The 25,922-nt window shown below is 58.4% G+C and overlaps 1 protein-coding gene and 2 long non-coding RNA genes across 3 annotated transcripts, besides 8 other annotated features; 2 read left to right on the top strand and 1 right to left on the bottom strand.

Annotated features, from left to right (window-relative positions):
* Nucleotides 97-476: a silencer, noted in NCBI's record as "silent region_14429". NCBI's record gives its function as "represses an Ori minimal core promoter by ATAC-STARR-seq in GM12878 lymphoblastoid cells {active_cell/tissue: GM12878}" and the evidence as "EXISTENCE:reporter gene assay evidence [ECO:0000049][PMID:35858748]".
* Nucleotides 397-8,049, top strand: DUSP7 (dual specificity phosphatase 7). Its single transcript, NM_001947.4, has 3 exons — nt 397-1,118; nt 2,594-3,028; nt 5,846-8,049. The coding sequence occupies exons 1-3, from the start codon at nt 602-604 to the stop codon at nt 6,151-6,153; spliced, it is 1,260 nt and encodes a 419-aa protein (NP_001938.2). The 5' UTR covers nt 397-601; the 3' UTR covers nt 6,154-8,049.
* Nucleotides 677-736: a silencer, noted in NCBI's record as "silent region_14428". NCBI's record gives its function as "represses an Ori minimal core promoter by ATAC-STARR-seq in GM12878 lymphoblastoid cells {active_cell/tissue: GM12878}" and the evidence as "EXISTENCE:reporter gene assay evidence [ECO:0000049][PMID:35858748]".
* Nucleotides 1,057-1,106: a silencer, noted in NCBI's record as "silent region_14427". NCBI's record gives its function as "represses an Ori minimal core promoter by ATAC-STARR-seq in GM12878 lymphoblastoid cells {active_cell/tissue: GM12878}" and the evidence as "EXISTENCE:reporter gene assay evidence [ECO:0000049][PMID:35858748]".
* Nucleotides 1,817-1,886: a silencer, noted in NCBI's record as "silent region_14426". NCBI's record gives its function as "represses an Ori minimal core promoter by ATAC-STARR-seq in GM12878 lymphoblastoid cells {active_cell/tissue: GM12878}" and the evidence as "EXISTENCE:reporter gene assay evidence [ECO:0000049][PMID:35858748]".
* Nucleotides 8,010-10,739, bottom strand: LOC124906238 (uncharacterized). The gene is made up of 2 exons (XR_007095908.1): nt 9,646-10,739; nt 8,010-9,149 (listed from the first exon to the last, which is right to left on the bottom strand). It is a non-coding gene; the product is annotated as an uncharacterized LOC124906238 (long non-coding RNA).
* Nucleotides 9,449-10,648: an enhancer, noted in NCBI's record as "P300/CBP strongly-dependent group 1 enhancer chr3:52080336-52081535 (GRCh37/hg19 assembly coordinates)". NCBI's record gives its function as "activates an origin of replication core promoter dependent on BRD2, BRD4, P300/CBP, MED14 and CDK7 cofactors, with strong dependence on P300/CBP, by STARR-seq in HCT116 cells {active_cell/tissue: HCT116}" and the evidence as "EXISTENCE:reporter gene assay evidence [ECO:0000049][PMID:35650434]".
* Nucleotides 16,423-16,992: an enhancer, noted in NCBI's record as "H3K27ac-H3K4me1 hESC enhancer chr3:52073992-52074561 (GRCh37/hg19 assembly coordinates)". NCBI's record gives its function as "activates a minimal SCP1, AML or CMV promoter by ChIP-STARR-seq in naive H9 embryonic stem cells {active_cell/tissue: H9 hESC(naive)}" and the evidence as "EXISTENCE:reporter gene assay evidence [ECO:0000049][PMID:30033119]".
* On the top strand, nt 21,090-25,571 carry LOC105377088 (uncharacterized). Its single transcript, XR_940839.3, has 3 exons — nt 21,090-21,170; nt 21,548-21,659; nt 25,508-25,571. It is a non-coding gene; the product is annotated as an uncharacterized LOC105377088 (long non-coding RNA).
* Nucleotides 24,403-24,917: an enhancer, noted in NCBI's record as "H3K4me1 hESC enhancer chr3:52066067-52066581 (GRCh37/hg19 assembly coordinates)". NCBI's record gives its function as "activates a minimal SCP1, AML or CMV promoter by ChIP-STARR-seq in primed H9 embryonic stem cells {active_cell/tissue: H9 hESC(primed)}" and the evidence as "EXISTENCE:reporter gene assay evidence [ECO:0000049][PMID:30033119]".
* Nucleotides 24,918-25,434: an enhancer, noted in NCBI's record as "H3K4me1 hESC enhancer chr3:52065550-52066066 (GRCh37/hg19 assembly coordinates)". NCBI's record gives its function as "activates a minimal SCP1, AML or CMV promoter by ChIP-STARR-seq in primed H9 embryonic stem cells {active_cell/tissue: H9 hESC(primed)}" and the evidence as "EXISTENCE:reporter gene assay evidence [ECO:0000049][PMID:30033119]".
* Nucleotides 25,572-25,922: the final 351 nt, after the last annotated feature.

The raw sequence follows: 25,922 nt of genomic DNA, 5'->3' as shown, positions 1-25,922 counted from the left end.
GGTTGCTCAGCTTGACCATCCCCCCCACCACGCCCCGTCCCAGGAAAACTATGCTGTTGTGAATGTGGGGTGGGGGTGCCAGGCATAGGACGCCCCCAGGGCCTCTCTTCCCGCAGTGTCCAGAAGAGCTTGGGAGCACGCGCAGAGTGAACCCATGAGGGCGTCTAGGCCGGGGTCCCTAGGCGGATCGTAGTCAGCTCCGAGCTAGTCCAGGGGGCAACGGTGCGGAGGCGGTGGGGGAGGGCCCCGCCGCTGGTCTCCCGGGCTCGGGTCGCGAGCGCGCCCGCATACCCCGTGGGGAGGGGCGGTGGAGGCGCTGCGCCTTTAAGCCCGGGCGCCGGCCCCCGCGGCCCCGCCCCCCGGAGAACGCCTCGGCGCGCGGCCGCCGGAGCCGCCGTTTAATTGGGGCTGTCAGGCCGCGGTGCGCGCGGAGGGCCGGGCGGGCGGGCGGGACGGAGGCCGGGAGGCCGGGAGGCCGGGGCGGCGGGCGCGCAGCTCGGCGGGAGGCGGGCGCCCGGAGACGCGGCTGGGGCCCGCGCGGCCGGGGCGCCGTCCCAGGGCAGGGCTGCCCGGCCCCGGCCCCGGGCCGCCCGCGCTCCCCATGAAAAACCAGCTCCGCGGCCCCCCAGCGCGGGCGCACATGTCGACTTCGGGGGCGGCGGCGGCTGGGGGCACCCGGGCGGGGTCCGAGCCCGGTGCGGGGTCGGGGTCCGGCGCAGGCACCGGGGCGGGCGCGGCGACGGGGGCAGGGGCCATGCCCTGCAAGAGCGCCGAGTGGCTGCAGGAGGAGCTGGAGGCGCGCGGCGGCGCGTCCTTGCTGCTGCTCGACTGCCGGCCGCACGAGCTCTTCGAGTCGTCGCACATCGAGACGGCCATCAACCTGGCCATCCCGGGCCTCATGTTGCGCCGCCTGCGCAAGGGCAACCTGCCCATCCGCTCCATCATCCCCAACCACGCCGACAAGGAGCGCTTCGCCACGCGCTGCAAGGCGGCCACCGTGCTGCTCTACGACGAGGCCACGGCCGAGTGGCAGCCCGAGCCCGGCGCTCCCGCCTCCGTGCTCGGCCTGCTCCTACAGAAGCTGCGCGACGACGGCTGCCAGGCCTACTACCTCCAAGGTGAGGGCGGCACCGAGACGCCTTACGGGATCGGGGCCCCCCCGCGACTCCCTGACGCCCCCCTTGGAGGCGCTTTCCTCTCCACGCGCTCGGCCTGCCCCTCTGGGCGCCACGTCGTCCCCGGCCCGCATCCGCCCTCCTGGAGCCGGGTCCCCACTGTGTGGTTTGGCAGGCGCGGGGCTCCCTCTGCGCCCCCTTTCTCGGCACGATTCGAGTGGGTGGAACAAACTTTCCCCTGCCTGGGGTTTCCTTTTTTTTCCTGTTGATGGGGCGACAGTAGTGCCTGGGCTCCAGTGGAGCCCCTCAGAGGTGGAAGGCGCCGCCTCCCAGAACCCTAAAAGCGGCAGGGCGCCCAAGTCCAGCCTAGAATTCGTGTTTCTGGAAGGCCAGGATCAGGAAGGGCACCTTTCATAGCACCATCCTCACCTCCAGCGCATGGAGACCATTTGGGTTGGGGTCTCCTGGATCCGGGAATTGCTTCTTCCACCGGAGAATTGCCGCCTCTAGGAGGCGCTTGGGGCAGGGTATGGGCAGGCTCCATTGCCCTGGCCCGGGTCTCTCGGGACCCCCAGGTCCCTAGCCTGCTGCCCCGGAGCTTGCAGAAGGGAGAGGTAGCACCGGGGGGCGAGTGGCTGAGGCCGGTGTTTCCAATTAACATTCCAAAATGGCCTCTTGCTGGCAGCGGGGCGGGCGGGAGGGGAGGGGAGGCCTGCGGCACCCTCGGGCGCAGGGCCCATGCCTCGCTGCAAGGGGCTCCCCATTTCTCCTGTCCCTGTATCGCCCCAGTGGCCCTCCCCCGCTGCAGGTCCAAGGCTGGGGGTGGGGCTTGTGTTCTAAGGGAGGGTTCTAGAGAAGTGGAGCCAGGACCCCCTTCAAAAACCTGCCCCTGCTGGGGGAAGGGGCCAGCCAGTACCTTCCCACTACCCTCCCCAGCTGTAGTTTCGGGGCTGGGCAACCACTAGACTCCCGTTCAGGAAGCCCAGGACCTCTCTGCCTCTAACTGAGCCAGATGTGGCTCTGGCACCTGTGGTCTCATCTATAAGAGGAGTTTGCCAACCCAGAGGTGCTGGCTAAGATGGGGTTGTCTGCTTTTCTTTACCACTTAGCTGTTACTGAACACCCATGGGTGCTAGGTGTGCGTGGGAGCTGCAGAAGAGGAATTAGCTGGGGCCTGTCCTCAAGTGCCCTAAAGCTGGTGCCATGGCTGGGGGCCCCGAAGTGTTATGGGTACCAGTTTGGAGTCCAGGCACGTCACTTCACCTTCTGGGGCCTCAGTTTCCTTATCTGTGAAGTGGTCATGGTTTAGATGGAGAGAACACGAGAGAGGGCACACGTGTAACATGCTTGGCATGGCCCATGCTGACCGTGGGTGCTGTGGTGTTTGGCGTGCAGAGTCCTGGCCATCTCTGGTCTTGTGCAGCCCATCTGGGCTCTCACCAGCCTCTCACCCAGGCCCTGTCTCACCCTGGACACAGGTGGTTTCAACAAGTTTCAAACAGAGTACTCTGAGCACTGCGAGACCAACGTGGACAGCTCTTCCTCGCCGAGCAGCTCGCCACCCACCTCAGTGCTGGGCCTGGGGGGCCTGCGCATCAGCTCTGACTGCTCCGACGGCGAGTCGGACCGAGAGCTGCCCAGCAGTGCCACCGAGTCAGACGGCAGCCCTGTGCCATCCAGCCAACCAGCCTTCCCTGTCCAGATCCTGCCCTACCTCTACCTCGGCTGCGCCAAGGACTCCACCAACCTGGACGTGCTCGGCAAGTATGGCATCAAGTATATCCTCAATGTCACACCCAACCTACCCAACGCCTTCGAGCACGGCGGCGAGTTCACCTACAAGCAGATCCCCATCTCTGACCACTGGAGCCAGAACCTCTCCCAGTTCTTCCCTGAGGCCATCAGCTTCATTGGTAGGTGCTGTGTGCTGGGCAGGGGGGTGTGGGTGCATCAAGGTGTATGCAGGACTCTGGGTGGCGCCCCCGCCTGACTGGGTACCTCTGGGCCTGTTGAGACCTGTGTGTGCCCTACGTGTGCCAGCGTGTGCCCGTGGGTGTACCCAGGCCTACTGTGAGTCACCGAGTCCCTTGGGCCCCTCTACCTGTTGGGGCCTGAGCAGTCTCCTGAGTCCTGAGCTCCCCCTAGCTGACAGCACGTCATGGGCTCTCTGCTGTCCAGCTTGTGTTTTCCTGGCTTAGATGTTGTTTCGGGCTTAGCAAGCTGAAACATCACAGCGCACAGACCTCCCACGGGTCTCACTTGCTCCGCATCACGCCTCAGCACACGTGTCTCTCCAGGATGGGGTTGTCATAGTGCCTCTTTGGGCTTTAATGTGGACCTAAGAGGGCTGAAAGGTAGCCCTGGAGCCAGAGGCACACCCCAAACAGGCAGCTATTGAAATGTGGTGACTGCTAGCTCAGTCAGCCTCCAGATGCTCTCTGCAGCCTGTAGGGCTTGCTTGGAGTGTAGGGAGGAGTGCAAGAGAAGGTGGGGGAGTGGAGAAAGGCCTTCCCCAGAGCAGTGTGTCCTGCTGTCTGGCTTAGTGCCCTTCGAGTCCCTGTATCCCCAGCCTCAGCAGACTCGGGTCCCCACTGCTTTCTCCTTGGCCAGCTGGAGGCTGAGACCACAGGTCATCTCCCCTGGCCCAGGGTGCAAGGAAGGGGCACGAGGGCTCAGGATGAATGTAAACGCTCTATCTCTGAGCCTGGTGACCCAATGTTTCTGCCCAGCCTCCAGTGGCAAGGTGTGGGGGTGGCCCGGGCTGTCTTTTCCCGATGGTGGCTGTGTCCAGTGGAGGGCGTTTTGGTGTCGGCTGGGCTGGGCTAGCTTTAACAACAGGAAGTGGGAGGCTTCCCCGCCTCATCCGCTTACTGGGAACCAAAAGTAGGTGCCTGGCTGGGAGGAAGGAAGGAAGCTGAGGCCTGGGGGAGGGGCTGCAACTGGGGCTGCCTGGAGCTTCTCAGCCCTGCCCACCACCCCCTGGGTCAAGAGGGCTAGGGGTGCTGCCTCAGCATTTGAACTCCCCCAACGAGGGAGGGGAATAGAGAGAGGGAAGCAGGCTTCGCCAGGCTGGGCCTGGCTAGTGGGTACCTTTATCCTTCCTGAAAGCTCCTCCCCGTCTGGGTAGGGGGACCTTTTTCCTCATTTGACAAGTGAAGGAATTGAGGCCCAGGCATCCCTTAGGAGTCAGTGGGACAGGATCAGTCACCAGCTACACCCTGAAAAGGCCAAAAATAAAGCCAGCAGAAACAGACTGTCTTTGGATCACCTGGAGGTGGGTTTGGAGGCCAGGCGTTCCTCACATCCTGGTGTCACCACTGGAGGCTGGTCCCAGCACCCCCTTTTCCCACCCCCAATCTCGAGGTCTGACCACACAGCTCCTCATGAAGCTGCAATGTCTGTCTCCTTGCCAGATGATCCTGCCCCAGTGCCTTAGCCATGGGGCCCCCTGTCAGTCCCTGAGTCTGGAGGAAGCACCTACTGTATGCTTTACTCCTTGGTTGGGAGGGGATGGGAGAGGAAGCTCTGTCAGGACAAAGGCAACGAAGAACAGTGGGTGAACCCGTATGTCATCTTGTAGGAAGGCATTGATTGCGTGCTAGCTGTGTGCCTGGCTCCTGGAGGGTTCAGAGTCAGGGTGGTGGGGACATCAAGGACCCCATGGCTGCCTCTTGTGAATCTATGTCCCTGGCACAGCTGTGGCACACAGAGAGGCAGCTGCCCCGGGGTCCAGGAGAGATTACAGGACTGAGTTGTTCAGTAGCTCGGCCAGTATTTATTGAGCTTCTATGTGTCAGACAGAGGAGTCTGAGGGTGGCACTGGGGGAAGCTGGGAGGGTTGGAGGGGAAAGGGGACAGGAAGGTTGGCCCCATCCAGTCAGCTGTGGTAGGAGATATCACTGACACATGGGCCTCCTGAGGAAGGTCTAGCAAGTGGCAGGGGTGGGGCCCATTTAAGCACACCTCACTTATGAAGCCCCATCACAAGTGATAGTGTGGCCATCATCCCAGTCCATGTGTCTTAGGAGCTGGAGTTAAGGCCTTGGGGACTAGCTGGGCAGATGGCAGAGCGAAATGCAGGGCCAGGCCACCTACTTCCTTCCAGAGGAGCCTCCCTCAGGCCACTTTCCTAGAAGACTCTCAGGGACAACCCATGGGAGCGGCTCCAAGAGAACCAGCCCAGCCCCCAGTCCCAGGTCATGGCCTGGCAGCAGCGGGCGCTGAGCTAGGAGGAGCTTCTGTGTGGCCTTGGGCTTGCCACTTTGTCTCTGTGTCTGTTTCCTCGTTGATAAAATGGGCTTACTGGCCATGGTGCAGATGACCCAAGAGGATGCAGGTGACACCCGTGACAGCAGTCGTTAACGCACATGGCAGTGGTAGGACTAGCCATGATCACAGGCATTACAGTAGTTCATGTTTGTTGACCCCTCACTTGGCTCAGGTCCTTATGAGACCACTGTGCATAAATAGGCCCATTTTATAGATGAGGAAACAGACACGGGTGTCCAGTGCCTTGGGGCTAAAGTGTGCAGAGCCCTCTCCACAGCAGTGCTGTTGACCTCTATTCCAAGTTGCTGCCCTACCCACACTGGGCTTGGCCAGGTCCCTCAGGGGTCGGGCAAGACCAGCCAGCCACCATGCTGCCCTCTGTGCCCCAGCCCCACCTGCCCACCCATGTGGGAAGGCTCCTTGAAGGAGGCACCTCCCTGACCCATGCCAATGTGTTTCAGACGAAGCCCGCTCCAAGAAGTGTGGTGTCCTGGTGCACTGCCTGGCAGGCATCAGCCGCTCAGTGACGGTCACTGTGGCCTATCTGATGCAGAAGATGAACCTGTCACTCAACGACGCCTACGACTTTGTCAAGAGGAAAAAGTCCAACATCTCGCCCAACTTCAACTTCATGGGGCAGCTGCTGGACTTTGAGCGGACGCTGGGGCTAAGCAGCCCGTGCGACAACCACGCGTCGAGTGAGCAGCTCTACTTTTCCACGCCCACCAACCACAACCTGTTCCCACTCAATACGCTGGAGTCCACGTGAGGCCTGGTGCACGGGGGGCATGGCACCAGGCCCCTGCTCGGCTCTCCACAGGGCTAGGTGGGAGAGCCCAAGCCCGCCACCTCTGGCCTGAGGAACCCCCAGATGTCACCTGTGCCCAGAGGCCCAGGCTGATCGGTGTCGGAGCGCCCCTCACCATCCTTGGGGGCAGGGCCCGCAGGCAAGGTCTCCCACTGCAGGGCTTGCTGGAGAGGCCTCGGCTCTTGGACACGTGGCTTTGGGCGTCCACCAGGGCCTCATCCTGTCCAGGACGCTCCTTTCTGCTGACAGCCCAGCCAGTTTGGCTGTTTTTTAAAGACACATCCACGGACCTGAGTTTACTTTTTACTTTTGGCAGGTAAATCCAAGCTCCCTGGAGCACAAAGAGTGTTTGAGCTCTTCTTGATTTTTCTTTTTTTTTTTTTTTTTTAACAAAAAGTGTTATTTTCAGGCTACATGCAACAGTGGATTGTATAACCCAGTATTTCATCCCTTTCCTGATCCTGCAAGAGAGAGAAATGTTCAGTTTTGTTTTTCGTTCAATTTCAAAAAGCAAGTATCGTGTTTGTTTTTGTTTTTGTTTTTTAATGGAAAAGACAGACGCCATGTTGACCTTGACCAAATGCGTTTTGCACATGTGTGAAGCCTCTGTTTCCTCAGCGGGCCCTTCTTGAAGGGGTGGCTTACTGCTCTTCAGGTATTGGGACCCCCAGTCGTGCCGCCTCCCACCCTTGGCCCAGTCTGACTTAGCTCTGCATTCGCCTGTGATGACTGCTGCAAGTTGTGATTGGTGGGCTGGATGGTGGTCTTTGCATTTTCTGCCGTCTCATCCATCCCTCTGGTGGTCCCTGCAGACCTCCCTGAGGCAGAAGGTGGGGACCCTGGGGCCCTGCCGCTGTCCCCCAGGAGGTGGGCCGCAGGGGGCTGCCAGGCAGTAGCATTAGCCCTCTGGGGTCAGCCCCTAAGAAGGCCTGGGCTCTGAGCCCTTTTATATACTTAGCCACTACTTCTGTCTGTCTGTCTGTCTCTCTCTCTTCCTCTCCCTCTCTCTCTTTCTCTCTCTCCCTCTCTCTCTCTTTCTTTCTCTCTCCCCCCCTCCCTCTCTCTTCCTTTCCTCTCTCTTGTTGTAACTGGGAGTGGAGGCCCAGTGGCTGGGGAGACATTAGGTGGTGGGGCCCAGCCCGACCTCCAGGTTCTTCCTTCTCCCTAGCTGTTGCTTTGGTCTGGCCACTCCCAGCCCCCTTGTCCCCTTGGAAGCTTGCCCTGCCCTCATCTTGCCCATGCCTTCTACTGCCAGGAGACTTGCACCCATTTCAACCCTAGGGCGGGGGCAAGTGGGGCAAGGATGGACCAGCAGAAGGGGGGTAAGGCTCTGTTCACTTCCCCCTGCCTCCACAGAACGAAGCCACGGATTCCGTTATCTTCCTCCAGTTTTGTTCCTTCTCCAGCCTCAGTTCCACCAGGTGTCAGGACTGCATGGGGGCCTGGGGCAGGCAGAGGAGTCAGGCCAGGGTCCCTGACGGAGCAGCACTCAGCATGTGAGTGAGGCCACAGAAAAACTCTGCCCCACTGCTTCTTACCTCACGGGGGTGGCTTTCAGGGATTCTTTAGCGCAGCAGATTAAAATCTTGCCACAGTCGAGAAATTGACAACAAGCTTCCATGCTGTACATGGTTCTCTTTTTCTCTCTTTTATTTTTAAAAAGAAAACCCAGAAAGATGTACCAGATTTGTGTAAATGAGGGTATGCCAGAAGGTGGCCAGTTTTGCTTTATGATCTTATGAAGGAAGATTTGTGACCCTACGTATATATATACACACACATACATATATATATATATCCCGAACCAACAACGGGACTTTGTTTATATTGCAAATAAATATTATTTTTTCTTTAAAATGAGTCGTGTCCGATAAGGGCTTGGGGCCTGGGAAGGAGGGGAAGGAGTGCTGTCGACAGGCATCCTAGTGCCTGCTCTGTGTGAGGCACTGGCCTGGTTCTGCTTGGGGTCTGCTGGCCACTTAGACTAATCAAGGTGCCCCGCAGATGGGAGGGAGCAGCCACAGTTTCTGGATGAAGCTGGGGCAGGTGGCATTTCCCCAGCCCTTAGGCACTGGCAGGCAGAGGCATCAGGGCTTTCTCTGTGGGCTTCTGCTGAAATCAAGGCTTGGAGAGGTTGTATATACCAAGTTGACACAACTGAGTCCTGACTCGCCCTTCATTGTCTGAGGCTGTCTGCTTAGGCATTGCCCAGATTGCAGCCCCCAGGACCCTAACTCTTTCTCTTGCTGCCGTGTGGGTGAGAGGGGAATGTGCATTTAACCCTGCCCCTGCAGGTCCTGAGATATCAGTGGGTAGTGACAGGTCAGCCCTTCTTTGCTTCTTAAGGGCTGGGTGGCCTTGGACAGGTCCCTTAGGCCGATTGCACCTGGTTCCTGAGTGCTTTTCAGCTTTGTGGCATGAAGAGCACATTATTGGCCTGGGCTCACAGGGAGGAATCAGCCGTGCTCAGGCGTGTACAAGGAAGGGTGGGCATGGGCCTCTGTCAAGGCTCCCCTGGGGGTGGGGGTCTAAGCGAGGCCCTGGGCTAGAGCAGGGAGGAGGTCTGGAGAAGGATGGGGGCCACAGTCTGGGGAAGTGAGGCCCCAGTGGACAACAAGCCCCGAGTTACAGATCAGGAAATGGAGGCTCCAGAGTGGCTTAGGTCTCCCTTGCCTCTGGCTGGATCAGGTGAGCCCCAGTCAAGGACTTAAGAGGCCTGGAAGCTGACTCAGTTTCCCCATTTCTGACATTCCCCAGCTCTATCCCTTCAGCAAACTGTGTGATCAGCACTGAGCTGGATCCAGGTGGAAGGTAGGTAGGTAGGGCCGAGAGGGTGAGGGCGGCTCAGCCTGGGACTTGCTCTGTTGGGGTGCCCAAGGCTCTCCTTCTCTTCTCTCCCTCATCTCTGCTCTTCAGTTAGTCTGCACCAGAACGCAGTCACAACCATCATGCGCAGCCTGTGGAGAGGGGTAGAGGGCAGGTTCTGCCCACTGTGGGGCCTGGGTGCAAATCTCAGCTGTGTGACTGCAGTCCCTCAGTTCTACCCCCTAACACTCCCATGTGGAGCGTGGAAGAATCCTGCCGCTCAGCCGGCAGGCCTCTGTGGGTAGGAGGGGGCTTCTTGCTGCATCCTCGACAAGGGGGCGGTGCTGCTGTTGCTCCTGGGCTCCCTCAGGGCCCTGTTCCTTCTGTGCCAGGGGCAGGCAAAGGGGGTGGGGGCCTGAGCAGGCAGAGACTGGGCCTTTGTTCCCTCCTGCTGCCCTCGCCCAGGCCTGGGGAAGCCCGCGGGTGCTGGGCTGGGGGCTGGGCCCTCGACAAACCGAGTAAGTGCCTGGCAGTGCCAGCGTGCCCAAGCACAGGACGGGGTGGGGGTGGGAGTGGCAGCCGCCTCCTGAGCCGGCTCTTCAGACGGAGGACTGGGACTGCCTGAAGAGGGCCAGCCCCGCCACTTACCCCTGTGCACTCTGGGGCCAGTGGTCTCTCTGACCGTCTGTGTCCTCCTTACCTGTAGAAATTCCTACCTCAGCACTGGGCCTGGCTAAGGTTCCCTGCTGGGGGACAGAGGGCCAGGTCATGGCTGAGAGGCTGGGGCCCTGGGTCCTTGCTCTGTGACCTTGGGCCGGGCCACGCTTACTGGACTGTGGTCCCCCACCCCTGGGTTTTGGGCTCCCATCTCATGGCCCCGTGTCCTGAGCTCCTCCTATCCCACCCCGTTTCTGCCATGCTCTCCCCAGCGGGCCCTGCTTGCTTCAGGCCATCTGTGGCTGAGGCCCTCAGCGCAGCCGTCCTGAGCTCTTGGACACTTGGCTCTCTGGGGGTGCACCTGCTTTATCTCTGTCCCCAGTCCTGTTGCTCTCTTGAGCCTGTTTGCCTCCTTGGTCCCTGTTTCTGCCTCCGTTTCAGCCTGGACCCCGGGGAGCTGGTCCACTCCTTAGCCGCTTAGTGTTCCCATGGGAGGAGGATCCAAGACACTTACTCACTTGCACATTCATCCAGCAGCCATTTCCTGTGCCGGCTGGGCAGTCCCAGGGAGGGAACATGCCCGAGGGAAGCTCGGTGATGTCACACTGGGTGGCAGGATAATGGGGCCCTCAACTTGTCCTCTGATAAATGAATCAAGTGCAACATGAGGACTGACTAAGGCTGGATACGAGGAAGCACTTGGAGTGCTGTGGAGCGATGACCTTGAAGGGGTTCCGACAAGACCGCAGGAGAGATGAACATTTCCCTAGGGTGGTCCCGCTCTGAGCCTGGGGGCAGAGGGAGCCCTCAGGAGAGGGCCCTGCTCTGCCTGCCACCCCCACAGGGCCCCTCCCCAGAGGAAAGTCATTCCTCATGAATGGACCAGGGTGGGGGTAGGTGGCAAGCCTGCACTGGAGCCTGCCCCTCCCTGCTACTGCCCATGTGCTGTGCACCTGGGCCAACAGCATGACTGCACTGTACCTCCCTCTGTGTCAGAATGGATGTGTCTGGGACACCAACACCTACCCCCAGATCCTTGGCAGAAGCCAGAGGGCCTGATATGGGAGCCAGCTTTCTCTGTAGGGAGCACAGTAGCATGTTAACCTCTGGGTGCCCCGATGGAGGGTGTTCAGGTCCTGATCCTTGACATCTTTTCCCCTGCTTTCTTTGGGCCCCACCAGGACACAGTGCTCTCACCTGACTCCTGAGACCCAGCCTACCTGAGAGCCCTGGGAAGGCTCGGGAATCACTCTGCTTCCCAGCCCTGTGCTGATGGGGAAGGTGAGGTTTGCAGAGGGGTGTCATAGAGTGAGGCAAGGTAGAAGCTGGGCCCCCCACCCTGCTGCCCTGAGGCTTTTCACTAGGCCCTGGCTCTGTGAGGGACCAGACACACACACACACACACACACACACACACACACACACACACACACACACACACACACACACACACACACAGCTTTGCCATCCTCTGACTAGACAAGCCCATGCAGGTCTCATAGCAATGGAGGAGCCGCCTGCCTGTGACTGTAGCCTCCTCTCATCAGGGTGTGTCCTGGGTGAAGTCATCCCTTTCCAGGCATGGTCATTAAAGACTATCATTAGCAACTCTTAGAGGCCTTGGCCCCATTGTCTCTGGCTGGGTCAGATGAGCCCCCACAGGTGACCGTGACACAGACTCCGGCCCCTTGCTAGAACCTCTCTTTGCCCAGGCAGCCAGCCCCCTTCCCAGGGCTGTCCTATCGCACACTTCCAGGGGCCATTGTCTGCCGTGTAGCTTCCGTGCATGTGTGGGGTCTCCACACGCCTCCCTCCATGCCTTCAACTCCTCCTCTGGCCTCAGGGCTGCAGGCAGAGGAGAAGCTGCAGTGCCTTTCCACAGGGCGTCATGGGCCAGGGAGGAGCCTCTTTAGGGGACAGGGGAGCCCCTAGAGGGCATCAGGCACAGGGCTGATGGGGTCTGGCTGTCACAATGAAGATCTAGTTGGTGAGTGAGAGCGGCCTGAAAGGCAAGCGCGCAGGCCAGGGGACAGGGAGGAGGCCAGGACAGTAGTTGAGGGTGGGTCAGGAGTGCTGGAGAGGGTGTGGGAAGGACACATCTGCAGACCAGCAGGACTTGGGCCCCATGGGAATCAAGACCCATGGTGTGAACAGAGGGTCCCAGCTTGTCTGATGCCACATCCACAGCCTGAAAGCCAGCCGCTGTGCCTCGCAGAAGGATTAAGCTTAGCCCGGGCATGCGTGGGCCCACGGGACCCCGAGCCCCCACTCACCTCCCCTGAGGGAAGCTTGCCTCACCCTCATTGTGCCACCACATGCTAGGCGCCCAGGGAGAGCCAAGGGGCCCCAAGATCCTTAAGCGTCCTGGAAGTCCCCCAGGACAGCACAGCCCTGACGGCCCATCTCAGAGCCTCCGTTTCCTCATCTGTACAGTGGGGATAAGAATTGCCAATTCAAGAGGAGAGAGCAGGATGAAGGGCCTGTTGCCCACCTAGACCTCTGGAACAGGAGCCCAGGTGAGTTCATTTAGCTGTGGCATCCCCACCGCTGCTGAGGGGCACCTCTCCGGCCCAACTATTGTCAATTTGCTGTGTGATCTCGGACAAGCCTCCTCCCCCGTTCAGTTCTCCAATTCCCTGTTTCCACTGATGAGAGATAGAATAATGACCCTGAGGTATCTGGCCCTCAGATTCAGCACCACACCCCTTTGAGCCTGCCTCTGGTCCCCCAATTCGCATGCCCCAAACCTAGTTCTCTCCTCACCCCACAGAACCTAGCATGGGGGCTTGGGATGAGGCTCCCGGTGGAGGAACTACAGGAGCAAAGGCCCAGCTCACACTTCTCCCCAGACCACTGGCACCAGGCCCCTGCAGCCCTATTCCCTAGCCGCTGGGAGAGAGGCAGGCTGGATACCACTGTCCCTCCCCGGTTGCTGGGACTCAGGTGGTCTCACCAGCACCTCTGGGCAGGGAGTCTGGGTGTGGTTCTTCTGCATCTCAGATTCTTTCCCTGGGCCTCATGCCCAGAAGTGGCATTTCTGGGACAAACACCTCTGCTTCCATTTTTCCAGACTGGCTTCTGAAAGGAAAGCAGAGTTGTTTGTCTTTTACGTTCAGCTATTACTGTTGCTGATTTAGAGAAGCCACGTGTTGGCAGTGCCAGGAACACGGCAGGGGCCCAGGACAGCTCTGGGGGCTGAATCATTCCTCGGCGTGAGGTCCTGCCATGGCTGCCCCTCATGCCTGGCCCTGCCTGGGATCTGTTCCGATGTAGTCGGTCACCTGGCAGTTCAAATTGCAGTAAGAGCCATAATAATAACACACAGCCATGGCCCTTGTGCTGGGCCAGGTGTCCTGCAGGCTTTACATGATAAACTCACTTAATCTCCCCAGCAGCTCTCGGAGGGGGTGCTGGATTATCCCACATGGACAGATGAGGAAGCCAAGACAGAGAACTGCAAAGCCATGTGTCAGGAAGGGGCCCCACTGGGGTCTGGGCACAGGTCTGGCTGCCTTGAGAGTCCCTGCTCTCAACTACCCCAGGCCTGAGAGGTCAGGAGACCTTTGGGTTTTGACCCCCTCCCATCCCTGACACCAGCTGGGCTCCCACCCATGCCAGCCCGAGGAAAGCAGCATGTTGTGGGAAGGAGCCCGGAGCTCCCTTTCTGAAGGGACTGCGATGCACCTGTAGGTTACCTGGGTGGGGCAGGGGAAATGGAAGAGAAGGGCTGGCAACAGCTGGGGAGGCTTGGGAGGGAGTGTCCAGTCAGGGCTGTCCTCCTGGAGTGCACAGGCTGGAGGGGCAGAGAGTCAGGGACACCCAGTTCCAACAGGTAAGGTAGTCTGGGGGCATCTCCCAGAAGGGGACATCTTCTAGTGGAGATGAACCTCTTGCTGTTCCTGCTTCCAGCCTTTGTGCATGCTATTTCCTCCCCCTGGAATATTCTCCACCTGCCACCACCCCCTTCAATTGGCTCCCTCTTTTCTTTTCTTTTCTTTTCTTTTCTTTTCTTTTCTCTTCTCTTTCTTTCTTTTCTTTTCTTTCCTCCCTCCCTCCCTTTCTCCCTCCCTTCCTCCCTTCCTTCCCTCTTTCTCTCTCTGTCTCTTTCTCTTCTTTCTGTCTTCTTTTTTTGACAGAATTTTGCTCTTGTTGCCCAGGCTGGAGTGCAATGGCGTGATCTTGGCTCACTGCAACCTCTGCCTCCCAGGTTCAAGCAATTCTCCTGCCTCAGCCTCCTGAGTAGCTGGAATTACAGGTGCCCACCACCCACCCTGCTAATTTTTGTATTTTTAGTAGAGATGGGGTTTCACCATGTTGGCCAAGCTGGTCTTGAACTCCTGACCTCAGATGATCCGCCTGCTTCGGCCTCCCAGAGTGCTGGGATTACAGGCATGAGCCACTGTGTCTGGCTTCTTTTCTTTTCTTTCTCTTTTCTTTTCTTTCTTTCTTTCTTCTTTTTTTCTTTTTTCTCTTTCTTTCTTTCTCTCTCTCTCTCTCTCTCTCTCCTTCTCTCTCTCTCTCTCTCCTTCCTTCCTTCTCTCTCTCTCTTTCTTTTTTTTTTCCAGAGTCTCGCTCTGTCACCCAGGCTGGAGTGAATGGTGCGATCTCGGCTCACTGCAAGCTCCGCCTCCCAGGTTCACACCATTCTCCTGCCTCAGCCTCCCGATTAGCTGGGACTACAGGCGCCCGCCACCATGCCCGGCTAATTTTTTTTTTTTTTTTTTGGATTTTTAGTAGAGATGGGGTTTCACCATGTTAGCCAGGATGGTCTTGATCTCCTGACCTTGTGATCCACCCGCCCTGGCCTCCCAAAGTGCTGAGATTACAGGCGTGAGCCACTGCGCCTGCCTGCCTGCCTTCCTGCCTTCCTGCCTTCCTGCCTGCCTTCCTTCTTTCCTTCCTTCCTTCCTTCCTTCCTTCCTTCCTTCCTTCCTTCCTTCCTTCCTTCCTTCCCTTTCTTCCGTTCTTTCGTTCTTTCTTGACATAGTCTCATTCTGACACGCAGGTTGGAGTGCAGTGGCACGATCTCGGCTCACTGCAACCTCCGCCTCCTGGGTTCAAGTGATTCTCCTGCCTCAGCCTCCTGAGTAGCTGGGATTACAGGCATGAGCCCCCACGCCCAGCTAATTTTTGTATTTTTTGTAGAGATGGGGTTTTGCCATGTTGGTCAAGTTGGTCTAGAACTCCTGACCTCAAGAGATCTGCCCACCTGGGATTACAGGTGTGAACCACCACGCCTGGCCTGTCTGCTCTTTCCCTGAGTTTAGTGCACATGTCTCCTCCTCCAGGAAGCCTTCCCTCACCTTGTCCTCCAGCTGGGGTTCTGGTGCCTCCTCTGGCTCCCATGGCCCTCTGTGCAGGCCCATCCCTGGAGGTCTTGGTGGCTAGGGTGCTGTGTCCAGCTGGACATCATCAGCACCCCTGGCCATATGTCTGGGACACCTCTGGGAACTTACCTAGCTCTGGGTGTCAGAACTGTGTGACTTGTGCACAAAGAGGTGTTGCATGGGGCCCCCGAGTATCTGCCTCACTGTGTCCCCTCACATGTCCCAGCATCACTGACTGCATCTGCCCAGGCCTTTGGTGGTGCTCAGGAGCTGGGGCTGGCGCTTCTGCAGCTCTGACAGGACGTCCTGCCTCTGCAGCCGTGTTCACTGCTACTGTGCCCACCATGATCGCCCGCCCTCCCCTCTGTCAGGTTCCAGCCAGAGAAGGGTCTGGCAGCTCCTGTTTATAAATATCTGCCATGGCCACAGCTAAGTGGAGGGGTCTGGAGGCCACGCTAATTGATTAATTAAACCCTTTCGGTTAATTAGCTCTGTCCCTCCAGGGAAAGAAGTCTAGAGCTAGAGCCAGAGCCTCCTCTGAGCTGGGGGAGGGTTTAATTAGCCTGGGTCAGGCTGAGCCTGATGCCAGCTGCTGGGGGCAGTGGAGAGCCCAAGAGGAGAGTAGTTCTGTGCACTGAAGCCAGTGGGCCACCTAGGGTGGGGAGAAGGAGACTCTCACTTCAGCCCAGACCAGCCACTCCTGACCACCCCGGCCCTGAGCCCCAGAGGCCAGAGGCAGTGGGACCCGGAGGAGGGAAAATGTGTACTCAAGAGGCGGGACCTGTGAGAGCAAAAGGGTGGAGGCTGGATCTGGGAAGATGAAATAGTCTTTGCTGTGATCTGTGTTCCTGCACAGGGGCTGAGGGAGGATCCAGACAGGGGCTCCCAGCCCTGGCTGCTGCTATGCAGGGAGGGCCTTGAATGCCACACAAGAGCTTGGGATTTCTCTGGACGTGGCATGGCAGGTTTGAAGCTAGGGTGGAATCCAATAAAGTTTTGGTTTTAGAAAGATTTCACGGGGCACAGCTGCTCAGGGGAGAGTGGATTGAAGGGACAAGGGAGGAATGGGGGGCATGGAGAAGGGGCCTCAGGTTTCCAGAGAGAATGGAGGTCCATCATGTCTAGGGGCTGGTGGGGAGTGAAGTCCAGCCTGGGCATCAGCCCACGAGCTTGTGCTGAATGGCCCGGGGCCACCCACTTCCCTTCTCTGGCCCTCTCTCCCTCCATCCACAAGGTGCCCGGGGCCGCCAACTTCCCTTCTCTGGCCCTCTCTCCCTTCATCCACAAGGTGCCCGGGGCTGCCCAATTCCCTTCTCTGGCCCTCTCTCCCTCCACCCACAAGGTGCCCGGGCCCACCCACTTCTCTTCTCTGGCCCTCGCTCCCTCTATCCAGAAGGTGCCCAGGGCTGCCAAATTCCCTTCTCTGGCCCTCTCTCCCTCCATCCACAAGGTGCCAGGGTTGGGGGGTGGGAGTGGGAAGGAGATGTTCCTGAGGTCACAGCCTCAGGATGTGAATGTCACTGGCATGTTTCCTTGTCCCAGGATAAAGCACCTTCTTTACCCCCCACCCGCCAGCTCTCCTTGGTGCCTGCAGGCGTCCGACCTGGCAGCGTTCACGTGTATGTGGAGTCCCCCATTTGTGATCTATTCCAGACAGGAGGAAGGAGGGAAAGGGAGGGGGACACAGTGGTGGGGAGGGATACCTGTGCCCAAGCTGGCCCTGGCCCTAGGGAGGAACTGGCCACAGTAGGAGCAGGGAGCCCAGGATACCCCGACCGGCCACAGGCAGCAGGCAGGGCTGCAGTGCTGGCATGAAGCCTGCTCTGGGCCGGTCCTCCAGCTCCCTGAGTGGTTGCCCAAGTGGGAACAATGACCCTTTCACGTCACGCCTCCTCCAGTCACAGCAACTTTGGCGCCGCAGGACAAAGGGGCCGTTTCATCATTGTCGGGCTGGATCAACAGCCCGCCCGCCTGAGCCCTGCTGCCCCCACCCAGCCGGGCCCGGGAAGGGAGGCTGACTGCCCAGGCTGGCCAGAGCCCGGGACGGTCTCCCATCTGGCCCAGCCACATCCGTCCCAGGACCCTCCTCAGTTCCCACACCTTTGCCTTTTGGGCTGACCGCTGGCCTTCTATGAAGACACCTGGCTCTGCTCTGCTCTTTCCCTTCCCCGAGCCTTGGTGTCCCCCTCTGTGGAAAGGGGGCTGGGAGAGATGGGCCCCCACGCTCCGCTCAAGTCTGTGACTCTAAGGTGTAAGCCTTTCTACTTGTAGTCTCTGTCCCCAGCCAGTCCTGGTCCCCAAGAGGGAGCATTGAAGTGGGATGGGGCAATGCCTCCTTGGGGAGGGGTCCCTGGCCCATGGTGGACAGGAAATAGAAGAGGCTTTGTGGTCTGAGTCCTTGCCAGGCCCGTGACCAGCCTTTTGTTCCCAGTGACTTTCCATGATGTGAGCTAGCCCAAGGCCATCTTTGCTCACTCTTGGGCTAGCCTGAGCCCTCCATGGATACTAGGCTGTACAGAGGCCCAGGGGGACAGGGCTCTACCCAGGGTAGACTCTCTTCCCCATGCCCAGCCCTGCCTCCTGCCTTTGCTAGGGCCTGGGGGTTTGGGACCCTGAGCCCCACATTTTCTCCCTTCTCCATGTGGCCAAGGTTTGCTGGAGGCTTCCTAGCAGGGAGAGGCGTGGGAGGCCTTGTCTTCCTCTTGATGAAGAGACCCTAGTCTGGGGACCAAGACAGAAACTGCACCTCTCACCCTGCATGGTCAGAGCTGGGTCAGGAAAAATGCCTGAGAATCCAGCCATTGAGGACCCAAGCCACATCCTCGGAAATAGGGGCTGTGGGACAGGCTGGTGGCCTCCTGGAGGGTGCTCACAGCCTTGCGCCTGCAGATGGCAATAGTGTTGATAACTCATCACCCAGGGGTGAGTAGGGAAGCTCAATTTGCTGAGCCCCGTGAGAATGCTGATGACTCTCAAGGCTGATGGGTCTGGGGGCTCACCCTGGGCCATCTGCACAGCACAAGCCATCCGGGCAGCCTGTGTTGAGAAGGCCCTGCTGCCTGGGCCCAGATGCCCCTTCTGCTCAATGAAGCAGGGCCCCCCTGTCAACGCAGCAGACTCTACCCTGGTGGGCTCTTTCTAACTCAGGAGTGGACTCCTGATGTTGGGGAGGGGGAAGCCAGGGGCGTCTGGGTTCCACAGTCTTCCCCACTTTCCAGATGAGAATCCTGAGGCTCAGAGAGGTCAAGTGACCTTCGAAACCACACGGCAGGTGAGGGGCAGAACAGAGACTCAGCAACTGGGTCAGGATGCAGCTGGGGTCAGGCTGGTCACCACAGGGGCCTGGTCTCAGGGTGACCGCCCTGGGTACTGGGCAGTACACAGCCACTGAGGGCAGACATGGCTGCATGGATGCCGGAGACCTGCAGGGCCAGGCCTGCTCTGCAGTCCCTACGGCTGCCCATCCCCGCAGGCATGGTCGCTGCCAGGTCGGCAGCACTACACACACATTGCCCATTTGCCCTGCCTCACTTCCTCTGACTAAAGCTAAAGACTCACCCCTTCAGGGGATTCAAGCCCTGGCACTTGCTGGCAAGAAATGCCCAGCCCAGCCTCCCCAGAGCGTGCCTGCCCTGTCACCCTCTCTCTGGGCTCCTTGGCAGAGGCTGCCAGGAGCACATGGTAGGGGTGAGGCTGCTCCCCTGGTTTGAGGGTGCTGGGCTCAGCCTGGGCCAACATCAGGCAGTGGGGGGTAGAAGCAGGTGCTCTCTCGTCCAGACCTGGCCAAGGGCCCCTTCTGTCCCAGCTGCCAGTGTTGCTGACACCCCAGCCTCAGAGTCCTTGGTGCCTAAAGCCTCCTCGAGCCTAGTCAAGCCCAAGACCCAGTGAGAGAGTTAGGTGCCGAGCCCCCAGCAGAAGGGGAAAGCCTCAGCTCTGAGCCCAGTTTTGACCTCCTTCAGTTTCAAGGTAGCCGCTGAACTGTGTCCATCCAAGGAACAGCGAGGTCGAGGCTACCCCAAGATGTCTGGGAGAGAAGTGGGAGTTTGGCCTCATTACACTGGGGGTTGCCCTGTCTGGGATCCCTAGATGATCTGCGGCAGCTGCCGTCAGGGAGTGATGGGAGGAGAGATGGGGCTTCAGGCAACTTTTGGATTCAGGGCAGGGCCGCAGCTCCAACATAGCCAACTCCAGCCTCTGCCCCAGGCTCAGGCCCTAAGGTGGCCAGCACCTGCCTGAGCTGGGCTGTACTAGGCAGAGGTGGTTGCTGGGGCCTGAGGGCGAAGCACAGCTGACCTGAGTGTTCCTAGGCGGGGCCAGGAGGCTGAGGCTCTGGATCCTGACTCCAGCTCTGCTCCCGAAGGGCTGTGGGCCCGCAGCCAGGTCCCTGGCCTTTCTGGGCCTCAGTCTCCCCATCTACACACTGGCTGGACTCCTGTAAAGGGCTATTGGCAGTCCAGATACTGTAAGTTCTTGCATCATACCTGCTAGGCAGAATACACCAGCAGGCCCCCAGCAGTCACCCTGCCTGTCCTGAGGGTTTCTGGGAGGGGATCCTACTCTGTCCCTCAGACTCTGTCCTCTGCTGAAGAGGCACTCTGAGGAAAGTACAATGATGCTCTGATGGCAAGGCTAGCCAGGGCTGTAGCTGGGGCAGGTGTCAGGGCCCTCATAGAGGGAGGCTTCGAAAGGCCAGCCTAGCAGACCTTGTTCCACACTCACACGGCACTGTTTATGCTGAAAGCTTTTTTGCCACTCAGTCAATAAAATACTGGGGCTGCTGAAAGTGCAGCAGCCTGGGATAGTGCCTGGCATAGGCAGAAAGCCCCTTGCAGCCCAGCCCCCTCCTCCCACCTTCCCCCAGCCCAGCAGTCTCCACCCCTGAACCTCCTGAGCACCTCCCTCTGTATAGGTGTCAGTCCACTGGCACCCGGTGTCGGTGAGTGGTCGGTATGTGATCCAGCCCTTCGGTCTCTGGGCCTCAGCTGCCACCTGTAGGCAGTAAGTGCATCCCCTCCCCAAGGGCTGTGGTAAGGATCAGAGACCTCTGATGAACAAAAACTCTGAAAACCACCTGTAATCCCAGCACTTTGGGAGACTGAAGTGGGAAGATTGCTTGAGCTCAGGGGTTTGAGACCAGCCCGGGCATCACAGTGAGACTTCATCTCTACAAAAAAAAAAAATCCAAAAAAAAAAAGTAGCTAGGTGTGGTGGCACTCACCTACAGCCCCAGCTGCTCTAGAGGCTGAGGCGGGAGAATCCTTTGAGCCCGGGAGGTGGAGGCCACAGAATTATGATTGTACCACTGCACTCCAGTCTGGGCAACCAATAGAGCAAGATTCTGTATTAAAAAAAAAAAAAAAGCAAGCTCTGGACACAGCCGAGCCAGGTGGTGAGCATCACATATGGCAGTATCCCAGTGGGGTGAGCTCTGCGGCACAGTTGAGAGTCTGGCTTTCAGTCAGACTGGTTTCCAATCTCACCCTCAGAGGGCATCAGCTGTATGCCCCTGGGCAGGGTACTTCCCTTCTCTGAGCCTCATTTAAATGGGGATCATAAAGGGACCTGTCAATTCAGGTGTGGGGGAACTTGTCTAAACCACCAGGCCCTGGGGGATGAGAGCAGCTGGTATTGGGCTGTGCCTGCTGGGGGATGGGAGCAGTAGCTCTCAGGCACCCCTCAACGCCCCGCAGTCTCTGGGCTGGGGGTGAGTTTTGGTGCCTCACCCTGCTGGGGGAAGAGCCCTGGGGATGCACCGTCAGGGGCTGTCCAAGCAGCCACTGTGGAGTGTGCCCCAGCTGGAGGACAGGGGGGATGGAAATGCTGCCTTGAAGATGGGGGACACCGTCTGGTGACCCTGCGGGTGGCTGGGAGGATCAGGGTGCTAGGCCACTCTGCCCTGGCACTGGGTCTCAGGGAACAGAGGGCAGAGAGACGCAGGGGTCAGGCCCAGAAGGAAGGTGGCCTCAGGTATCTTTCCTCTGGCAGCAGGGCTCCTTGAATGCTGCAGTCTGAGCCTGACCCTGGGCTGGGGGAGTCCCGGGACTCCAGCCAGTGCCCAGTGGGCTCAGCCATGCTTCCCCTGCCAGAAGAACTCTCCCTCCCAGGTACCCCGGCTAGCAGTAACCACTGCTCCAAGGTGAAGACTTGACAGAAGCGCTTCTAACTCCTCCACGAGGTTCCCACTGGACTGTAAGTATAGAGACGGAGGCCCAGAGAAATTCAGTGACTTGGAATGTGAGGGAGGGGAACACAAAGCCCCAGCCCTTGGCTAGACAGAAGGGATGGAATGAGGATGCTTCATCCTGGGGTCAGGCCCAGCCCTAGAGAGGCACAGGGACAAGGCCACCCCAAGGCCCACCTGTCCTGATCCCTCCTGTCCCCAGCTGGCTGCCTCCTGCGTGGGCTGGTATTGCTGCTTCCAGGAAGCTGCCCAGCCCCAGGCTGAGTGAAATGCCTTCGTTGTGCCCACCACCCTGTCCTGGTGATGTGGGGCTTGTTTGTCTGTGGGAATACCCATGAGACTCCACGAGGGTAGGGCTGGCTCACCCACTCCTATGTTCCCACAGAGGGAGCGAGGGAAGCCCAGAGAAGGGGCCATGAGGCTATGGCGTGGACCATGATGTTACAGCAGTCCTTTTATCCTAGGGAGAGCTCAGCCAGCCTCGTCCCAGACCACAGGTATAACTGACCTTCGGAAGTTGGGGTGGGATGCTGTCTCAGCTCTCCCTGGCTGCCTCGTAGCCAACCAAGGGTGGGGGACCTGGAGATGCTGTCTGCAGGCCATTTGGCAACTTGAGTCAAAAGGCCTAAAAATATGAACAACCTTTAATCCAGCAATCCCATTCCTGGGAACCTGCCCTAAGAAAATCACAGCTTGAAGGAAGGGAGAATTGGAGTGGTTAGCCTCTAACTTGCTCCGTGATCCCTGGCTCACATTGGACCCAGCGGCTGTTGTCCAGCCTCCCCCAGTGAGGTTGTTCCCTCCCATAGGATCATGTCCATCATCCTCCCCAGAGAATGTGGCCCATGGTGCCAGGCCACTGCCCAGGCCTGTGTTACACATTCATGGACCTTCCCTGTCCATCCTCCACCTTTCTGGGACTCAGGCTTCTCTCTGCCCAAACACGGGCATCCTAGAGGCCCCCTCCTCCAGGGAGTCTGCTCAGATTTCATCTATGGGCATCCTGCACCCTGTGTGCCCCCAGGTGGAGGTCTTTGGAGGCCTCTGTCCTCCCTGTGGGTATGAGGTGGCTCCACTCTCCATAGGGCTGTTTGACCACTCCCTGCTGAATTCCAAGAGTCTCTAGCGGGTGTGAGACTGGACTGCTGTCCTTCCCTAGGGGGAAGGGGTGGGCACCACGACAACACACCTGGCAGGTCAGCCTCATGCTCCCCATCTTTGGCAGTGCCCGGCCTCAACATAGCATACCCTGGGATGCCTGGACACAGGCAAGGCCCCCCTCTTCCCCTCCCTCTCTAGGCCCTCGGGGGGTCATCTGTTCTTCCCCCTGCCTCCAGCCCTTGCTGCTTACAAGTCTATTTTTCCAGCAGGAGGTGAGTGAACTTCTGCCCTTTGTTCCCTGTAAGTCCAAGAGACAGAGGTGGCTGGGTGCAGTGGCTCATGCATGTAGTCCCAGCATTTTAGGAGGCCAAGGAGGGAGGATTGCTTGAAACCAGGAATTTGAGACCAGCCTGGGCAATATGGCAACACCCTATCTCTACAAAAAATTTAAAAATTAGCCAGGCATTGGCCGGGCGCGGTGGCTCATGCCTGTAATCCCAGCACTTTGGGAGGCCAAGGCAAACGGATCACGAGGTCAGAAGATCAAGACCATCCTGGCCAACATGGTGAAACCCTGTTTCTACTAAAAGTACAAAAATTAGCTGGGTGTGGTGGCACGTACCTGTAATCCCAGCTACTCAGGAGGCTGAGGCATGAGAATCGCTTTAACCCAGGAGGCAGAGGTTGCAGTGAGCCGAGATTGCGCTACTGCACTCCAGCCTGGCGACAGAGAGACTCTGTCTCAAAATAAATACATAAATAAAATATTAACCAGGCATGGTGGCTTGAACCTACTCAGGAGGCTGAGGTGGGAGGATCCCTTGGGCCCAGGAGTTTACAGCTGCTGTGAACTATGATCACACCGCTGCACTCCAGCTTGGAAGACAGAGTGAGACCCTGTCTCAAAAAAAGAAAAAGAGAGAGTGAGAGAGAAACAGAGAGACACAGGCCAGGCTGCTGGGCAAGGAGTGCAGCACAGTGAGAAGGTACTTAATCCATTCAGCACCATGCACTAGGCAGCTTAAACTGTGATACCTGATTTCTCAGGAGTCACAGGTAAGAGGAACTCAGGGAAGTCTCAGGGAACTCAGAAGTCTCAGGGAAGAGGAACCTGCGTGGTTTAGCCCCTCCTGTGTATCAGGCTCTGTTCTAGGCACATACCACCTTACTTCGTCCTCATGGGAAGGGATTATTCTCCCCATCTTTCAGGCAGTGAAATTGGGATGTACAGGGAGTTTCAGGCACCCAGCCAAGGAACTCAGCTATAATCCTGCAAACAGTGGGGAGGGAGCCCTTGAAGGCACGAGAGCAGGGAGAGGGGTGCAGGCCAGGTGGAGGCCTCTTAGGGACTCACAGCGTCTGTCCTCCTAAGACCTTGCAGGGTCACTCTTCATGCTGCCGCAGCAGGTGCTGGGGGTGTCTGCACTGGCCTCTCCCAGCCGTGCAGGCCCAGGCCCTGGCTTATCCCCCACAGCCTCTGCTGCAGCCTCAGGATGTGCCTGGAATTCCAAAGCTGAGCAGCAGAGACCATCTGCCCAGAGCCTAGCTGGCTCCAGGCAAGGCCGGGTTGGTCTCCACACTGCATGAGGTGCTGTGGCCTCAGGGGTCCTCACACGAGAAAAGGAGAGTGAATTAACCTAAGGCCACTTGCTCTTGCCCCCACCGCACCCCACCCCAGGACCTGGGAGAGTGGTGCCAGGGGCAGCAGAAGCTCCTGCAGAGCCCTCAGCCCCTCTCTGCAAGCTGACAGCTGCCCAGCCACCCACTTGGGCTCAGAGCCCTGTCCAGAGGGCTGAACGCAGAGCCAGGCAGGCGTGCCTGAGCCTCCTCCCCTGGTGTTCTGTGGGCTCAGACAAAGAACCCAGTGCAAAACTGGCTGCCCTCCAGTGAGGGCCACAGACACCCTCCACGTGGGCTGAGCAGGTCATCCAGTGGAGTTGAGCCTACAGGTATAGGACAACCCTGGGTTGGAGCCCCAGCTCCGCCACCTACAGCTGTGTGACCGTGGGGACATCGCTAACCCTGCTAAGCTCCAGATTCCTCATTAGGAAAATGGGAAGTGTTAGACCAGAACCCCAGAGGTTTACGTGGGGCAGTGCAGGGCCTGGCGTGATCATGAGAGCACTGTCTCCGTTTAGTGAGGCCTTGTTCTCTGCAAGCTCTGCACGAAGCCTTTTGTATGCTTTCATCTTTATGGGAAGAAATTATTCTCCCCATCTTTGAGGCAATGAAACTGGGGTGTACAATGCATCTTCACAAATAGCCCATGAGACACACCTATTCTCCAGATATGTGTGGCATTCTCCACATCTTACAGATGAAGAAACTGAGGTTCTGCAAGGCTAAGGTACACCCTGTGGTCGCAAAGGAGGGATGGAGTGAGGGAAGCTGTCTTTACGGGGCAGCCTGTTGCAGATACGGGCTGGGGGCAGGAATGCGGTGTGTGACTGAACAGCATGACATGTCATGTGTGTGGCTGGTGCCACTGAGGACTCCTTCTCGGGACCTCTCAGAGGTGACAGAGAGGAGGGAGCAAGCAGGATAAAAGAAGAGAGGAAGGAAGGAGGAGGGAGCTGCTGGAGAGGGCGGAGCCAAGGCCCCCAGACTGCCATGGACCGGCCAGGACACCATGCTGTGGACCTGGGCCCAGCCCACCAGTCCCTTCATCCCAGCCAGGGAGGCCCAGGCAGAGAGGCTTGGAGGGTCCGCCGGGGGGCTGGGGGGTCTGTGTGCATGCAAGCATGCAGACATGTGGCGGCGTGGTCCTGGGCCCTGTCCGTGTCTACCCTCCAGTGGGCATGTAGCAGGGTGTCCCATCTGCTCCCTAAGCCACCTAGCTTTGGTTTTGTTTTTGTTGTTTTGAGGCAGGGTCTTACTCTGTCACCCAAGCTGGAATGCAGTGGTGTGATCATGGCTCATTGCAGCAAGGGGCTCAAGCGATCCTCCCACCTCAGCTTTCAGAGTAGCTGGGTCTGCAGGTGAGTGCCCCATGCCTGGCTAAGTTTTTGTTGTTGTATTTTTTGTAGAGATGAGTTCTCACTATGTTGCCCAGGCTGGTCTCGAACTTCTGACTCAGGTAATCCCCATGACTTGGCCTCCCAGAGTGCTGGGATTACAGGTGTGAGCCACTGTGCCCCGTCCCCGGTTTTTATCTCTGACACTCGTGTCGCATAAGTGGGATTGATCTATACCAGCTGCAGCTGCCTTTCTCCCATCAACGAGCTTGCATTGCCTTCTGTTTCAGCTTCCATGTCTGCCTCATTGGGGTCCTGTGCAAAGACCTGCCATGGACATTTCCAGTTTCCCAGGGATTTACCATTAAGGATTCTGCCATCACAGACCCCCCTTGCAAGGAGTGTGCTCGTGAGCAACGAGACCGCTGAGCAGAGTGTCTCGGTCCCTCTGAGTGTGCGTCTGTGTACTAGGGTTATTGGTGCTCTGTGACTCTGGGCAAGAATTTCAACTCCCCTGGGCCTCAGCTCCTCGTCTGTAAAACAGGGGTAAATAATTGGGCAAATCTCCCAGGATCATGAGAATTAAGTTAAATGAGGGAGTGCTGGGAAGCCGAGCTCAGCCGGTGTCTGGCGCAGAGCAAGAGCAGAAGGGTGCTGTTCCCCAGGTTTCTGTCCTTGTCAGTAGTGTCATCTGCCTGGTCTGGC

This window comes from Homo sapiens, chromosome 3 (genome assembly GCF_000001405.40).
Source record: "Homo sapiens chromosome 3, GRCh38.p14 Primary Assembly".
Classification (NCBI taxonomy): Eukaryota; Metazoa; Chordata; class Mammalia; order Primates; family Hominidae; genus Homo; species Homo sapiens.
This window is presented reverse-complemented; position numbering and strand designations above follow the sequence as displayed.